Below are 18,708 nucleotides of genomic sequence, written 5' to 3' on the forward strand. Positions count from 1 at the left end.
GCAGGCTTTCATGCATTCTCAAAATAAAAATAATAATATCATATATGTGTATGTATACACACATATATGCTTTTTAATATATATACTTTATATATATACATGTATATGCTTTAAATTTTTTTCTATGTTCTAGACACTGCTGTAAGTGTTTTATATATGTAAGTTCATCTAATATTCATGACAATTTTATCGCTATTTTACAGAGGAGAAAATGCAGGAACAGAGAGGTTGAGAGAGTTGCTTTATGATGCACAGCCAGTGAATGGAGATGCTGGGATTTGAAGCCAGTCACCCTGGCTCCAGTAGCCCTGCTTGCCACCACTGTGCTATGCGTCCACTCAAACGTCACCCCCTCTGTGAGACTTTCCAAAAGGGCTCCAGGCCCAGTCCAAACTCCCCTCCTCTGGAATCCCACAAGGCCTGGCTTCTCCCCTGTTCCAGCAGGATCATGTACTTTCACTTCAATGAATCCTTCACAGGGCTCTGCCTCCCCGCTAGACTGTGAGGCCAGGACTGAGTGTGTGTTGTCTGGTTTGTAATCTCTGAGTCCCCAGTGCCTCACTCAGCCTGGTGCATAAGGGATGCTCGGTGCTTGTAGAATGAATGAGTTTGTTGAACAAATACATAATGTCAAAACAAATTGTGGCAAGAAGGCTTAAATTCCTGAAAAGAGGAAAACATTGTTTCAAGATGCTCTTGTTTCCTAAACCCCCGGACACCTGGACACTCACCCCTTGTGGGGAGGAGAGTCTTCGGAGGGCCTTGCCAGGTGTCACTGTCCTCCTGCCCCAGTGGAGCAGGCGCCCTTAATGGCAGCCACACAGTAATTCTTCCAAACCATTAAATAATTGGGAACTTTTCATTAATTAAGCATGGTGACCCTATTAATTAATGAATTAAGAGGAAGGAAAAAAGGAAAGAAAAAATGATATCAACCTTGGTTAAGAGCTTACTTTGACATATTTCTTAAGTGATTTTCTTTTCTTTTTTTTTCTTTCTTTCTTTTTTTTTTTTTCTGAAACAGGGTCTCCCTCTGTCATCCAGGCTGGAGTGCAGTGGCATGATCTTCACTCACTGCAGCCTCGAACTGCCCAGGCTCAAGTGATCCTCCCACCTCAGCCTCCCAAGTAGCTGGTACTACAAGCACGTGCCACCACACCCAGCTAATTTTTGTATTTTTTGTGGAGATGGGGTTTCATCACATTACCCAGGCTGGTCTTGAACTCCTGGGCTCAAGTAATCCTCCAGCCTCAGCCTCCCAAAGTGCTGGGATTACAGGTGTGAGCCAGCGTGCCCAGTGGTTTTCAAACATTGTCTTTGGGACAGTGGCATTAGAATACCTGTGGATTTTTTTTTTTTAACTACAGATTCTTGAGCTCCTTGCCATGGAAATTTGGTTTTGTTGGACTAAGTGGGGCCCAGGACCTGCCTTCAAAGGTGATCCCTGGGATATTTCCCTGCCCGGAAAGGTTCAGGAACCCATGCTTTATATCATATTTTCCACCAGAATAACATGAAGAGCGCATCTTAGTCCCTCTATAGGTGATGCTGGAGATGTTACATGCTTTTCCAAGGTCAGCAACTAGTGAGTGGCAGGCCTGGGACTGCAAGTGAGGTCTACCTGATGAGAGAGAGAGAGAGATCTTTAAGAGACTGGGATGCCCAGTATGAGAGAAGCAAGAAAAAAGATGGGAACAATAAAAGATGACCACCTCATGTCCTCCTTCCCCAGCCATGGGTCTGCGCCTTCCTCTGGGTCCGGCTCCCAGCCCCCCATTCCCATGTCCGCTCTCACTTTTGGCTGAGATGCCCTATCCCAGCTTTGGGTTTGGGAGCCTGCTCTCCTGCCATCTGACTCCCTGCTGGCAGCCTGCTCTCATTTGGCTTTCACCCTCCTGTATGGTAGCATCTGGCTCATACCAGTGTATATATGACAGTGCCTTTAAGAGATTGTCTGATGTCTCAACCCCCAGGCTGGAGATTCTCCCTTTTAGAAGGAGCAGAGTGATTTACCAGGGCAGAAGGGGCAAATGATACAAAACATAAAACTAACAAGTGTTTACAAAGCACCTGCTATGCCTCTCTCAGAGAGAGATAAGGGAGTCCCCGCCCTGGGAGTTCAGCATCTTGCTAGGGATCCAAGGCATTCTCAGAAAGAAAGAGAAATGCCCTTGTGATCAAAGGCCATGTCCTGTGACTCAAAAGAACACTCTGACTGTGGGAAGGACACAGCTGGAACCATTGCTGCAAGCAGAGGAGGTCACAGAAGCAGGAGGAAGTCCCGACTGGAATGTTCAATGTTTGTTGTGTGGGGTGGCAGTTGCAGGCTCCCAAACCTGGAATGTGGGGTGAGGAACAAGAAAAGTTCACACAAACAGAACTTACTGGGGCCAGGCACTGCCCTAGGCTCTTCTCATATGTTACCTCCTCATTTAATCCTCACCACTATCCTATGAGAGAGGCAGCTACAAGGCAGGCCATTTGACAGATGAGGAAGCCGAGGAGTAGCAAGGGGAAGGAACTTGTCCAAGGCTGCACGGCTAAAGTAGCAAGCTGGAATTTGAACCCAGGCAGTCTGGCTGCAGGCTGCATGTGCCTGATCACTTTGCTATATTTCCTGTCCAGGTGAAACGGTGCAAGAGGTGAGTAAGTACAGCATGGATTTGCAATGGGGTGAAATCCCACCATGGCTGCTATCTGTTGGAAAAGGAAGAGGAACAGGACCTGAGCTGTTCCTCCAGTTCAGGCCTGAGCAGAGAGAGCCTTGTGTGCTGGTGTAGGGAGTGTGTGTTCTTCTGTCAGTGGTAGAGAGCTATTGGGGGTTTCTGAACCAGCCTGTGGGGTGACAGTCCTATGCTCGGGAGAGATGACTCTGGTCCTACTGTATGGGGTGTTTGGGGTGGACAAAGATGCAGGACATTTCTGCAAGACAGAGGTAGGGTTAGGGGCCTGCAGCCAGGGCTTGGGGTTGGGGGAATATCAAGAAAGTGGAGAGGAGAGGGCACTCCTGGGAAAGCCCCATCCTACCCTGCTCCACAGGCTACAGTTCCCACTCCCCGCCACTCCGCGGGCTACAGTTCCCACTCCCCGCCACTCCATGAGCTACAGTTACCACTCCCTGCCACTGGCCAGCAGCGTGGCTTTGAGCAACTGACTGTGGCTTTCTGGCCATCTGTAGAAAGAGGAGCCTACAGGGATCAAATGAGGCCACGGTTGTCATGACTGAGCCTGGCCAACCACAAGGCACAGTTCAAACAGGAGATGCCACTTCCATGCCCAATGCCATCTTCTCCCCCTTCATCTCTCTCGTTGCTGATCTCCCTACTACCTACTTGAATCTCCCTGTGGACTTTTACTAGTGTTTTTGTAGGAAGTGACCTCGCATCTCTTTTGGATGAAGGCAGGATCATAAATAATAAAGAAATAAATGAATGCACTCTCAGCCCATGCCTTTGCATTTCTGCTCAGTGTCTGCCTCTGACCACTGACCCGTTTGTCCCCTCAGCTGCAGCCTCTGCACATTCCCCTGCTTTGGCCTGATGGCCCGGACCTCAAACCCTTTCATGGAATGCCAACGAATTCCATAAGGAGTCCATAGGGCTCGTGGACACTCCCTGCCCCTTGGCATATCTGCGTCTTCTGCAGAGCATCCCGCCTTCCAAATGAGAGTCCATGGAAGAGACTGGAAGGAGGACCTGTTGGTGCAAGATCACTAATTTGCCATTCCTGGGAGGGGTCAGGGGACCCGAGGAGACCAGGCTCAGCCTAGGTTTGGGCTTGAAAGACAAAATATGAAAGCCAGAAAAGTGTTTTGCTGCATTTTTCAACACAGACATCCAGGCACAGATGTCCAGGGGCCAGTGGAAGATATGGATTAGAAATTGGGAAGGATTATCAGCTGGGGGCGCAGGCTTGGGAGTCATCTCCAAAGAGGGTTATATTTAAAGTGGAATGCTTCTGCTATTTTGGTGTCAGTTGACTTCACTAATGTTGGAAATTAGCTGTTGCTAAACAGTCATTGTGATACAAACAATCCAAAATATGCTTCATATTACATTCATTCATGAACCAATACTTGTTGAGCACTTACTAGGTGCCAGGCCCTGCACGAGGCCCTGAAGCTACAGGGGTGAATAAAACAGATGCAGTTGCTGCCCTCTGGAGCTGGAGCCTGTGGCGGGGGGTGGGGGGTGCAGGGATGTGAAGTTCTGCAAATACTGGGTTAACCACAATTTTCGAGGTTGAGGAGGAGAGGAAGGACATGGAGCTCTACCGGAGGGACCTAACCTGGTCTGGGAGTGAAGGAAGGCTTCCCTAATGATGTGACTTTGAAGTCAAGATGTAAGGAATAAGCTGGAGTTGGCCAGGTAAGGAAGGGGGAAGGGGAAGCAGGAAAAGCAGAGGGAACAGCACCTGCTAGGGCTCTGAGGCAGGGAGGGGGTTGGGGTAAGGGGCAATGGAATCAGGCCCACGTGACTGCCATGTACTAAGCACGGGGAAAGGGCCTAAGATGAGGGCTTGAGTGGTGAGCTTGGCCACATCATGCAAGATCTTAGAGGCCATGGTGAAGGTTTTAGATTTCATGGTACAAACACTAGGGAGTCACTGATGGCTTTTGACAAGGGATGACACAGTCAGATCTGTGCTTTAGAGAGATCCCTCTGGCAGATGAAGAAGAAACTGGGGAGAGGGGCTGTGAGGAGACCAGAGTACAGCCACATCTTTGTCTGATCCTTGGTCCAGATACATTTGTGTCTGATTCACTCAACAAACATACTCCATATGCCTCCTCCTCACCTCTCACTTTGCTTTCATTTTTCTGTTTCAGGAAAAGACACCACATTCTGTCCAATGGTCCAGATCAGAAACGTGGAGTCCCCATGACTCGACCTCCTCTCTCATCCCTGCATCCAGTCTACCTCCCATCCCTTTCATCCTTTCTCTCCATCCCCCTTCCCCCACCCCAGGCAGACCACCATTCTCTCCCTTCTCAGGTACTGCCACAGCCCCTCCACCACCGTGAGGAGTCTCCCTGTCCTCAGGTTGCCCCACTCCAATCCACTCCCACATCAGGGGGACTCAAGTGCATCCCTCACACTTCTCTCATTTCTCATTGCCTGAACAAGGTCACAAGACCCATCATCACCCAACCCTTGTCTACCTCTGGAGCCTCCTGCTCCTCCTCCCCTCCTGTCCCACCCCACACCCACATCCACTTCCCTAGGATGCCAAAATAACACTGAGTTCTTTGAACTAATGTTCTGTTCCTAGCCTCCCAGCCTTTGCACACGCAGTTTCCTCTGCCTGGAGCACTGTTTCTATTCCCCTTACCTGGCTTGCTCCTCGTATTTAGGTCTCAGCTTAATGCTACTCATTCATTCCTTCATTAATTCAATACATATTTACTAACCTGTACAATGTGCAAAGCATTACGATAGGTGCTAGGGTCCAGTGGGAGCAAGAAGGGCATGGTTTCTGTCCCCATGGAACTTACAGCCTGAACCCTGGGTGTGGAGCTATACACCCGCCCAATGCTGCCACAGTTCCCATCTTTCTGCTTGATGGAAATTATAGGTTATTGGTACTGTGAGCTCTCTCCCCTCCTAGTCTGCAAGTCCCATAGGACAGGGGTTGAAGCACATAGTACAGTACTTGGCATTTATCAGGTCCCCAATGTGCCACATATACAGAACTGACAAACAGCCCCTTCCCTGTACAGTTAGAGGACACCTATGCAGCATGGCTCTGTAGAGATCATTCTGCCAGCATCACAGATCCCCCAGTGTGATATCTTCTGCCCAGGCCTCATCACCCTGGGCACTAGCACCACCCTTGCATCCCAGCAGCCCCCATGCCCACCACCTGCTTATGTAGAGCCAAAGACCCAAGAGATCCATTTCCCTCCCTGGCTAGCATGGAGCACTGCCACCCTGTAAGTCCTACTTTTCCATGCAAAAATGTTAATTGGAAAAAATGCTAATTAGCACAAATGTTAATCCACCCAAACTTGCATTCTATGCCCAACAGCTGAAACAGGTGACACACAGCCCTCCTGCCTGTCCCTCACCCACTTCCTTTCCCCCCTCCATGCCCCGTGGAACTTGGCTTTTCCTGCAACTTGGGGAAGGGATGTGTTCAGTGCCCACTGTTGAAAGAGAACAAAAGAAAAAATGTGCACATCCTAGGAGAGGAAATGTGTGCTCATTTGCCAAACACAAGTGAGCCTTTATTCTGTTCCAGCCCCACACTGCAAATTCCACATCACGAGACAAGGGTGTGCTGTGCCAAAAGTGGACTTTGTGACTTCTCGACCTCCACTTATGAACTGCTGCGCCTGCTCCCTACCCCTGTGCCTCTGCTTCTCCTACTTGGAAACTTCTCAGCCATTGCTGCCCCACGCCCACCTGCTATCAAGTCTTGCCCCCAGTCCTGCCCTAGGTGAAGGTTCTAGGAACCCAAGTATAGCCATTGGCAACTTGCAGGCAAGCATAAACTCCCAAAGCCTTAGTTCCTTCCTTCCTTCCTTCCTTCCTTCCTTCCTTCCTTCCTTCCTTCCTTCCTTCCTTCCTTCCCCCTTCCTTCCTTCCCCACTTCCTTCCTTCTTCCTTCCTTCCTTCCTCCCACCCTCCCTCCCTCCCTTCCTTCCTTCCTTCTTTCCTTCCTTCTTTCCTTCCTCTTTCTTTCTCTCTCTCTCTCTCTTTCTCTCTGTCTCTTTTTGAGACAAACTTTAGCCCTGTTGCCTGGGCTGGAATGCAATGGCGCGATCTTGGCTCACTACAACCTCCGTCTCCCGGGTTCAAGCAATTCTCATGCCTTAGCCTCCCAAGTAGCTGGGACTACAGGCGTAAGCCACCAGACCCAGATAATTTTTGTATTTTTAGTAGAGACAGGGTTTCACCATGTTGGTCAGGCTTGTCTCGAACTCCTGACCTCAGGTGATCCAACCACCTCAGCCTCCCAAAGTGCTGTGATTACAGGCCTGAGCCACCTTGCCTGGCCCCAAAGCCTCAGTTTCTGCTTCTGTAAACAGAAATGAGATTTCCCACCAGGTGGGTTCTGGTGGGCATTCAATGGGATTACATTTGTATAGGCTCAGGAAATACCAGTGTGCATCTGGGTACCTTGTCCCTCACTTGGCTGTGCGAGTGTTTCATTCCGCCCCTGCAGGTTCATGCCCACCCAGGTCCCAACCTTGTCCCCAGAAGAAGGAGTAGCAGGACTATGCCATGCCTGGGACTTCTGTGGGCAGCCTCAAGTCTCTCTCCATGCCATCCTGACCCAGCCTGGCAGCCCACAGCTGGCCCCAGGGGCCTTCACCATCACTGACCCAGAATCCTCCTATCCCATCCCCATTGGCCATCCCTGGACCAGAGCCCTCCCATTGCCCCCCACCCCAAGTGACCCAAGCCTTCTTTCTACTCTGCTATTGGACAGTCAATGCCGTTGGGCATCTGCCTTGGTTCCCAGCCTTACATCTGCCTATGATTCCCACCTTGATCCCTAGAGGGGTCTTAGCTCCTACCAGGCTTCTGTGGCTGTCCTGTCCCCTTACCCCAGACTATGCCTCTGGAAAGGAGAGCTGTCATGGATGGGGGAGCAATATAATTTGCAGCTTATGAATCAATGACTTAAATTCCAACTCCAGCCCCACCCTTATTAACTATGTGGCCTCCAGCAGGTCATTTCTATGGGAAATCACTGTTTACAGGGTCAATGGGGACATTAAATAGGTTGGTACATATATAGTGCTTATCCCAGTGTCTGGCACATAGTACCATCAGGGTAGGGAACACATCTAGTATTCTAAGCATTTTACATGTGGTAACTTGTTTAATTCATAACCATCCTATGAGATGGGTGCAGATATTCTCCCATTTCATAGACAGTGAAACCAGGCACAGAGAGGTTACATAACTTGCCCAAAGCTACATGGCTTGTAAGAGGCAGAGCCACATATCAAAACCAAGGGAGGCCGCTTGAGAGTCTATGCTCAGAACCACACTGCGTCTCCCCTATATGTGGAAGCTGTTGTTTCCATTTTAGTTATTTTGTCTGTATGTGTGTTGTCAGATGTCCTAACACCAAGGCCCTCTGCCAGGCTTCTGGTTTGGACCACCTCCTGGAATCCCTCACTGCCCCACCCCGCACTTGGCACTCCAGCCCACCCTGCAAGTCAGAACGCTGCAGCTGAGGCTCATGCATCTGTGAGAGAGAGGGAGTGCGGTGTCTGCCCTCATGTTGTGTGTGTCTGTGTGTGCAGATGCTGCGAGCAACAGGGAGCAAGCCAGAGAGGCCGATGGAGGAAAAGTCAGAGACAAAGAGATGTTGCTGCCAAATCCCTTTCATCTCCAGCAGAGAGAGAGAGAGTCTGAAACTCCACGGTAGGTTGGGAGTGGTCTGTGTGAGCAAGGGTGTGAGAGAAACTGTGAGTTCCAGAAGATGAGCAGAAGGCAGGCCGCCTCCTTGTGTGAGTGTCACTGTGTGTGCACAGGGGAGTGTGTGTGTGTGCCCCTGCGTGTTTGAGTGGTGAGCTTGTGAGTGTGCATCTGTGAGCACACATTGGACCATCGGCAATGATCGTTCCACCCCGGGATAAATGGCATAAACAAGGCTAAGCTTCAAACAGGCCTTCCGATGACTTTGGTGGCAGAGAGGACAGGAGGAGGGAGAGGAGGAGAGAGGCTGCTGGAAGGAGAAGAAAAGGCAGCAAGCTCATGCACTGGGGGATGGGCATGTTGGACGCCTTCCACTGCCAAACTGTCCTAAACGCCGATCCATCCAACGGAATAACAAACACAGAACAGTCCCCAACACCAGAGCCGGGGCGTTTCCCAGGGGCACAAGGCCCGGCTCCTGCTCACAGGCACTGATATTTTATTGATTTTATAGCAGCCTGGAGGCAATTGTAGTTGGGGCAGCAAAAAAGCAATTTTCCTCACCTCCTGCTTTCCTGACAGACCTCTCTGCTGAGCTGAGGCCAGCCCTGCGTGGCAGCCGGGGTGCATTAGGTCACATCAGTACAACAGGAGAGCCCATGCTCAGTGACCTCCTCAGATTCACCTGCGTGCTAGGTCCTACTGTGGGACACATTATTGGAGAGACAGATATGTGGCTTAAGTCAAGAGGGAGTGACAGGGGCCAGGCCAGCCCTCTCCTACCTGCCTGGCCCAGGCTATTGAGCCGGGCAGAGTTCCTGCCAGCCTTCCAGTTTGGGACAGGGATGTAGGAGGCAAGTCTGGGCACAAAAAGGATGGGAGGCCAGGATCAGGCAGGCAGGAGACCCATACCTGATTCTGAAGCCAACGTAAGCCAATGTCAGCTCCTCGGAGGGGTGGGGAGCAGGAGACTAGTCAGTTCACTCCACCTTCACTTTCCTCACCCATGCAATGGGCATGATCTCTCTTGGGATAATTGGGATCCATCACCTAGTGCATAGCAGGTGCTCACAGAACCTGGTGGTGTGCATTAGAAGTGAAGAAAACACAGCTCAACTCAGGCTTGCCAAAAAGTACATGACTCTTGGCTCACAGACTCTACCTTAGTAAGCACTAGAGTATTGAGAAGGTGTGGGAGGAGGGGTGGTGCCTGGTACCCGACAAGGGCTCAGTGAGTAGTTATGGAGGACAAGATGCTGAGAGCCTGAGGCGTGCACACATTCTAGAGGAAGCGGGGCCTGGAGAAGGACACAGGCCTGGGAATCAGAAGCCAGAATGTCTGCCACAAAAGACCAGGAACAGGGGCAAGTTTCACGCAGGAGTTACATTTTAGAAAGCATGTCGAAGGGAGTGGGAGTTTGCTGGGTGGAGGGAGAGGGAGCAGGAACAGAGTTCCAGGCATGGAAAGCAGCATTGTTAAAGGCACCGAGGGCGAACTGCACAACTCGACTAATAACAAACCCAGCTGACTGTCCCTTGTGTGCCGTGTGTTTCTCTAAGTGCTTTTCATGAATTCACTCATTTGTACCCTTTGAGTATATATTGTCGCTTATCTCATTTTACAGATGAGGAACTGAGACCCAGAGAGTGAAAGTCACTGGACCCTGGGCACACAGAGTCAAAATGCACTGTCTATTCTGCCAGGCCTTTGGTCCAGCTGGACTGATGGGAAAAGGTGCAGGGGAGGAAGGCCTCAGGCGTCGTTTGGAGAAGTTTAAAATGGATGCTGTGGCCAGTGGAGAGAGATCAGTCTAAGCTCTGAATCGAACACTCTGGTGATTTCTGCAAAAGGTGGATGGAAGGAGTCGAGGCTGGAGGCAGGGATCATGAGGGAGGCAGCTTCCACAGGCATTTTTTTTTTTTGCAACTTTTTAAATTTATTTTTCTAATTGATGCATAACAATTGTACTTATGGGGTACAGAGTGATATTTCGATACATACAATGTATAGTAATCAGATCCGGGTAATTAGCATATTCATTATCTCAAACATGTATTATCTCTTTGTGTTGGGAACATTTGATATCCTCCTTCTAGCTATTGGAAACTGTACGTTATTGTTAACTATAGTCATCCTACAGTGCTATAGAGCACTAGAACTTACTCTACCGCCTAGCTGTAATTTTGTGTCCTTGAAAAAATCTCTCCCTATCCTTCCTCCCCACTCCTCTTCCCAGCCTCCAATAACCTCTGTTCTGCTTTTTACTTCTATGAGATCAACTTTCTTTTAGCTTCCGCATATGAGTGAGAATGTTCGGTGTTTAACTTTCTGTTCCTAGCTTATCTTATCTAACATAATGTCCTCCAGTTCCACCCAAGTTGCTGCATATGGAAGGACTTCCTTCTTTTTTATGGCTGAATAATATTCCATTGTGTATATGTACCACACTTTCTTTACCCACCCATCTGTTGTTGGGCACTTGGGTTGATTCCATATCTTGGCTATTGTGAATAGTGCTGCAATAAACATGAAGGTGCAGATATCTCTTTGATACGCTGATTTCCTTTTTTTCAACAGCAAACTCAGGCTTTGAAAGCATTTATACACCAAATGATACATTTCTGCCCAGTGTCACTGCACTTTCATTCCCATTAGTGCTGTACCAGCTCCAGGAGTGCCCATTGCACAGATGAGACCACTGAGGTTCTGAGCTCTGATGACTAACACATAACTGGCATCTGGCAGAGACTGGACTCGAACCTATGTCCCATGACTCTAAATTATCTGGTCTACATGATCTTTCTCCCCTACCTCAGCTGCACACTCTTGGAAGGCACTGTCTGTCTGATACACCAAGCACACAGTAAACCCCCAACAAGTATGTGTAGAATGAATGAGGGAGCATATGAATGAGGGAGTGTATGAATGAGTGAGGCTGGATCTTGGGTGCTGGTCACTTCTAGCTCTAGGTGTCGCTCAGGTTGTATCACAAAAAGGAAAACAGATATAAGCCCTTTCACTTTCCCTCCATCAATCGAGGGATGATTCCTAATACATAGAGACAAGGTAGGAAGAGTCATGAGACGTGGGGGCAGAGCAAAACTCAGGGGTCCCCATCCTGGAGATTAGACTTGGGGCCCTGAATTAGGCCAGAGGGCCCAGTTCACCACCTCCTCTTACTCCTAGGCTGGTGAGGACCTCCCCACACCCAGGCCCCAGAATAAATGCCATCCCAGGCTGTCGGAGGGACCAAGGAGCTGCTCTGAGAAAGTCCTTGGCAGCTCTGAAGGTGTGTCCTTTAAATAAGGCAAACCTATTAGGGAGTGAAGGCACAAAACAGACTGCAATCCTGGAGGCTTGGGGAGATCTCGCTCCTCCAGGACTGCTATTCTGGAGGAAGCCAGTGCTGACTCGGAAATCCATTTCTAATATGATGTAAATGAACGATGGAAGTGCTCTTTCCAGAGTATTTTTAAAATAAGATCATATATACATATATATATGAAGAGAGAGAGAGAGAATATGACAGATGGACGGGGTATTCAGTGGAGTATTTTTAATCCTGGAGTCAGGATTATGTAACGATGGGAAGAGAAAAGCTAAGGCAGGTGGTGAGTCATCTGGAGCAAAGAGGGGAAGCGAGTCACACCCAAACCCCTCTTCCCATTCTGCCAGCATCTGCAGGTGCCAAGATGCACAGGACCACAGCAAAGAGGCAAGAGAAGTGGACCCAGGGGTGGTGAAGAACCACCGTGTAAGCTGGCTCAGGGGGTGGAGGTGGGGACTTCACAGGTTCAGCAGGGGTCGTGGAGAGAAAGATAGGGCCCAGCCAGGCCTGGCTGCAAAGGCTGAATCCTGGAAACACTTGTCAATTTCCAGGAAATTGGAAAAGGCAGAGATATTTTCAAGTGAGTATTTGCTCTGCACTGTACTGCAGACTACGTGTCATCTTTGACTTCCTGCAATTTGCTGAAATGGGAGGCTGTGAAGGCTCCCCTCAGAAATTGCAGCTGCAGCCTGGGGAACATACACTTTGCATGGCCTCCCTTAAAGGCTGACCCATAGGGACTCTTCGCCAGGCCTGTGAAGCAAGTGCCGTAGCCAACAGGCCTGTGTGAAGCAAGAAGCTTTGAGATGGAACATAAGGGAGCCCATCTTGACTGTGAAGGAAGGAAAGCTAGAAATGAGTGAGGGAGGGGAGGTGGGGGTGTCTGCCCCTGGAGAACTTCCAGAAGAGAACACCCACCATCTGCCCCGGGTGGTTTGCAAAGTCATCTGCTGAAGGCAAGGGGCTGGACCAGATGGCCAAACGGAGCTCTTGTCTCTTCTGGAACCCTTTAACTCTAGATGCATTGCTGCTCAAAATACTCAAAGATGTCACAGAGTTAGCACCCATGCCTTCCTTCTTCAGCAGAAGAGCTCCTGTGTATACCCATTGCCTTCCACTTCCAATAGCTGCCATTTACTGAGTGTTCACCATAGTCCAGACATTGTGCTTTTCATATATTATCACACTGAATCCACTATCCACCCTACAAGATAAAGGCTACTATTCCCACTTCACGGATGTGAAAACTGAGGCATAAAGTCAGTGGTTGGATTAGGACTTTAACCCAGTTTTTTGAGTCTAAATCTCGCTCTCTTAGCCTTGACAGCATAGACACTCAGACCCAACAATTTTATTCCTCCAGGGCTGACCCTCCTCCGGGCTTAGACCCCTGCAGTATGCTTAACTGAAGCCAAGGCAGTCATCAGTCAGGAGAGATGGCTGCTAGTTCCAGGAGCAGCTCCATCTGTCTGTGATCCAGGGCACTCATGGTGAGAACCTACTGAGAAAGTGGCCCCCACACCTCCGTGCAGCCAGGGATGAGTCCACTGCAGTTACTGCCCTGAGAGGCTCTTCAAAGCCCTTGACTGGTCAAAGCAATTGGGCTGGAGAAAAGGGGCCGAATCAACTTGGAGGCAGCCTTTGCTGCCTGGAGGGCTGATGCTGTTTGCTTCCAAGCAAACAGCTTCTCCTTTAGTTGTTTCCATTAGAGGATCCTGGAGAGAGGCCCAGCAGGAGGCTGTGCGTGCCACGAGGCCTGACAGGATTGGCCCGGTTTCTGCCCTAGCTCTGGCCTGTCCATGCTGCTGAGACAGAAGAGATGTGGAGACCACGAGGGAGATGCCAATGAGACAGAGACACAGTCAAGAGTCAGGGAGAAGGAGATACCATAAGAGACAGACAAAAAGGCCAGAACAGACAAGACAGAGACAGAGGCCACGAGAGAGGCTTGAGAGTCATGGAGACCTAGCAGGCAAATAAAAACAAGAGCAGAGTCCCCGAGAGACATGGAACCTGCCAGTTAGCAGGGCTTTATCCAGCCCTTCTATGTGGCAGGCACTGTTCTAGGCACTGAGGAGACAGAATTGAGCAAGGCAAAGCCTCTGCTTCATGCAGCTTCCTGCCTAGTGAAGTAAGGGGCAGGAGGGAAGATACCCCACTCATAAGAATCTCCCCAGACACCATGAAGACACCTTTAGACAACAAGACGCTGAATCAGGGAGGCTTTGATGGCAGAAAAGAGGCAGGAAATGTCACAGGAACCACTAGCAGGCCAAGAAGAGAGGAGAGAGAGAGAGAGAGAGAGAGAGAAGCCATAGGAGAAATGACACCAGGGAAACCAGAAGATGTGGGGCCATGAGAGATGCCAATAGTCAGGAATCCTGAAAAACCTAGACAGAGTTAGAGAGGAGAGAAAAACCAAAGAAAGAGACCTGCCTAGAATCAGGGAGGCCAAAGATGGGAACAAAATGAGAAAGGCGCAAGCATAGAAAGCTAGAAACCTGAGTCAGGAAGGCAGAAAGGCTGGAAGAAACCCAGAGAGAGAGAGAGACAGATAGACAGACAAGCATGGAGACAGGGAAACAGTAAGACAGAGAAACAAAGAGACTGTTGTTATCACTGATTATGGAGTTGGGTTTTCCAGGCCTCCCCCAGATCCATGAACTTCAACCCTCTCATTGCCAAGGGTTACTTTCATTATCCTCCCTGATGGGCCTCAAGGTTTGAAAGATATTTGTCTACCAAACAATCTGCATTTCATAAGTAATAATCAATTCACTTTCCCATTTTTTATTCATCAAAGACATCTATAACTGGCAATCAGAGCTTCAGATCAGTGGGAGATAGCTCATGTTGCCACACTGAGTTGCTGTACTTCCAGCCAAAAGCAAAGAAATCTGCCATTGAGTTGTCAGCCCTTGCACAACCAAATCACATTTCTGTTAAGTTTTGGGAGATGTTGACAATAGTTCAAAGGACACAAAGAGAGACCCTGCTGTCTTTGCAGACTCCTGCAGATCCAAGGGCCCAGTTTCCAGATGATAGTCCCAAGAAGTCCCTTCATCCTGCTGGCATTGAGCTGCACGATGTGGGCTGAGATCCTGGGAAGGCCTGGCTCCTTTCCTGGGAGTATATGGCCAGAAATAGACACATATCGTCTATCCTAAGTAGCCTTTTTACGAACAAACTATACCTATTAAAATAACAGTACAAAACCTCAGCTTATCCCTCTCACTATGTCCTAGTTCTTGTCTTCCTCCACAGCCACACTTGCCAAGGGAGTATGGTTCTTTTCTTCTGACCTCCATAACATGGCTCATTACTCTTTTATTCATTGTCTTCCAGATTGCCCAAGCCAATAGCTTTTTCCAACTCAAGCTATTTAGCATTTAGCATTGTAGCCACTGCCCTCCCACTCCATTTTCAGATGTTAGGCTCAGGTCCAGAAGACTTGAGTGTGCATGCAGGTTTGTCTGTGCACCTGTAGGGTCAGTCTCAGGACTCCCAAAACAACAACCCAACCTGTGGGCAACCACTCATCCCTCGGTGTTTGTCTCTTCATTGTCCCTGTCAGAGCCCTAAAATAACCTATGGAGATAAGCATATTATGACCCCTAGTCCAAGACCCTGGCCATGCACCAAGCTCTGAACCTGCAGGAAGAACTTGGCTTGAAGTCTGTCTGTAACCCCTTCTTGGGCTCTGACCCTGAGTTGGGTTGGCCTTGGTTTGGTTTCTTGTTTGACTCCCATTATGGTGTTTTTTCAGGTTCTCCTGTAGCTTCCCTGTCTTGCGTGCTGACTCCTATTTCCCCCATCCAGTGTCTTCGGCATGGGCATCCATCCAGGCATCTTCTCCTGCTCCCAGCACTGCCCTCCTTGCCATGCACTCTGCTGCGATTTCCCACTCATGTGTTGCTCATCCTGCCCCACTCCTTAAATGGTTTATGCCCCATCCTTCACTTCTGCCTATTCGGTTCCCACTGTCCTTTAAGGCCCACTTTCTTCCCTATCCCCTGCTTCAGAGAGCCAATTTGATGCACATGTAGGATCTCAGGGGTCCCCTAAAACATCCAGTAGGGAGAGCTTGATAAACCTAAATCCTAGAAGATTCCAAGAAAACAAGCACAGAGTGTCTCTTCCAGGCCAGTTGGAGCCAGGAAGAAAAGACCAAACTGGCAGGGTTAGAAACTAGGCACTGGGGCAAACAAAGAGTGTGGACAGTAGTGGACAAAATAAGATCCCTTTTCTACCTTTATGGCCAGGGCTGAGTCTCCAGAAACTCAGTGTTTTAGCCACCAGTCATGGTGCAGGATGAGCACCATGTGAGATAAAGGCAGAAAGTCAGGGCAGATAATTCCTAACTGCTACATGAGGCCTCATGCCTCCCTGCCATCATGCACAATAGCAATATCTCACCCCACCTCTCTATTCTCCCAAAGCACTTCATGTTATCACCATTCATGTTTCACTTATAGCTGCTGTTTGTGCACAGGTACTATTTTTCTCCTATTGAAAGTATGAAATTTCACAAATATTGATGACATTAACTCCTCAGTTGTATATTAAAATTAGGAGAAAATTCTATTTGAATAAAGACTTAAATAAATGCATTGTCTAGGGATAGGTCTATTCCCTTCTTACTTTCAACCTTGTCTATAATTAATTTTTACTTAGCAATCTTATTTCATTTATTTATTAACAAACATTTACTGAGTGCCTATTATGTGCCAGGCCCCATGCTAAGAGCTTGGGTGCCACAAGAACCAAGACACACTCTCTGTCCTCTAGGAGCCTATGGTAAAGACAGAGAGATAGGGGAGTAAACCATTGTCAAGCAAGGTAATAGGCACTAAAATAGAGATATGTGTTGAGTATTTAGGAAATATATACTAAGAGTGATTGGCCAGGTGCGGTGGCTCATGCCTGTAATCCCAGCACTTTGGGAGGCTGAGGCGGGTGGATCATGAGGTCAGGAGATCGAGACCATCCTGGCTAACACGGTGAAACCCCGTCTGTACTAAAAAAAGTATAAAAAATTAGCCGGGCACGGTGGCGGGTGACTGTAGTCCCAGCTACTTGGGAGGTGAGGCAGGAGAATGGCGTGAACCCGGGAGGCAGAGTTTGCAGTGAGCCGAAATCACGCCACTGCACTCCAGCCTGGGCGAAAGAGCGAGACTCCATCTCAAAAAAGAAAAAAAAGAGCGATTGGCCAAGACTTTGATGTTGACAGTGGTCAGGGAAGGCAGGGATAGTGCCTTGCCAGGATCTGGAAGGGCATGTGTCAGTCAGAAGAGGATTGGAGAGGGAAAGAGAATTTCCAGGCAAAACGATTAACCTAGAAAAGGGAGAGAGCATGACACACAAATTAGTGGAATGGCAGGTTGTTCAGAAAGTCTAATAATAGGATGCCCAGTAGGGTAAGGGAGGAGAGAGGGGAGCGATGTGGCTGGCTGGCGAGGGGAAGCAGAGTGAGACCATGAAGGGCCTTGTATTCAAAAGTAGAGAGTTTGTATCATGTATCCCTATGTTATGATAAGTATTCCTATCCCTTTGAAGAGATTTAAGCAGGGAACAGCATGACTAGATTTGGGTAGTAGGTAGAGCACTTCTGGCCAATGTGGAAACAAGATAGACAGATATTGTAATAGTTCAGGTGAGACATGATAAAGGTTTGGATGAAGGCAATGGGAATGGAGAAAATGGAGAAATTAAGATGGCATTATGTAGAAAGTGTCCACAGGCTTTAAAGACTGACTAGGTTGCAGATTTCTTTGACTACATCCTATGTCAGCAGCCTTCCTGGGTTGGGTTTGCTCTTGCCTTGGTCTCTGACTTTCAGGGCTAATGAGCAGGAGTAGACTAACCTCCATGTGATGGCTTGCTCCAGCAGCCCATGAATTGAGCAGACTCTCTCTTCAAACACATTGAAAATGATTTTTGCCTGCCATTGATTTTATTAAAATTGGATGTCACTCCTGCCTTCTAGCTTTTCCAGTTCAGTTCAGACCAAATTTCATAGTCAAACAAACAAATGAACAGAAAAATCTTCTGCAACTAACTTTAGGTTTACAACCCATCCCATCCTCTTTCAACACTCATTATTGCCTTTTTTTCTCTTCTTGTTGCTCCAAAGAGCACTGGTGACAAATGTGGCTGTTTGTAGTTAATTCCATCCTCTTCTTGACTGTTTTTGCCCAATCAGGACTGAAGTTTACCTTGGTTGCCAGGGGGAATCATGCTATTAATTATCTATTCACCTATCTTTGAAGCTCACCACCAGTGTGAAAATTACTTCGCATTAAATTATAAGGAGGCACTCATTAACTTGATTATGCTGGAAGAAACAGTTCTATTAAAGAAACTTTTCCCCCTCTTGAATATTTTAGACATATTTTGTAGGGTAGAATTAATTTTTAAAGAAAATTACATAGTGTTTTTCTTACAAGCAAAAGTAGATTGAAGGGAGAGCAGGGAGGGCTGGGAAGAAGAGGAGAGAGGAGGGGCAGAGAGACTACATGAGCACAGAGAAAGACAGAGATAAATAGAGAAAGGAGATGACAGAGACAGAGAGTAGTCACAGATTATTTCCTATTGGAGTTGTCTTTGCTGGTTGCTGTCATTTTGGAGATAGTCTATGGAACAGATCATCAAAGCCACTTTTTTACACTTTATAAAGTACACCAAGACTCTGTGACAACTGCAGATTAAAGAAGTAGTACCAGTACCAACTGTTGGTCTTATGGTTTTTCTCTCCTAGTTTCAAAGCTCACAAAGGCTGCCATGACTCAAAACTTTCTACCCAACATATGATATGTCTTGCAGCCATTAACCAGGGTCATAACTCAGTAAGAGCTGACATATCATCTACCACTCCTGCCCCCACAACTTGCGATTTTTTCTAATTCCCTTTCCTGCCAAGCTCCAAGAATTCCAAAGTTTTTTAACCTCACACTGATGAAGACCACATTGAAGTGGTTAGCATAAATGTACTTCTATGGAAAAAT

At 48.2% G+C, this 18,708-nt stretch overlaps 1 long non-coding RNA gene across 1 annotated transcript; it reads left to right on the forward strand.

Annotated features, from left to right (window-relative positions):
• Positions 1–8,197: 8,197 nt before the first annotated feature.
• LOC124904027 (uncharacterized) lies at positions 8,198–10,918 on the forward strand. Its single transcript, XR_007065848.1, has 2 exons — positions 8,198–8,381; positions 10,001–10,918. It is a non-coding gene; the product is annotated as an uncharacterized LOC124904027 (long non-coding RNA).

The sequence above is a fragment of the Homo sapiens genome, chromosome 1, assembly GCF_000001405.40.
Source record: "Homo sapiens chromosome 1, GRCh38.p14 Primary Assembly".
NCBI classification, from domain to species: domain Eukaryota; kingdom Metazoa; phylum Chordata; class Mammalia; order Primates; family Hominidae; genus Homo; species Homo sapiens.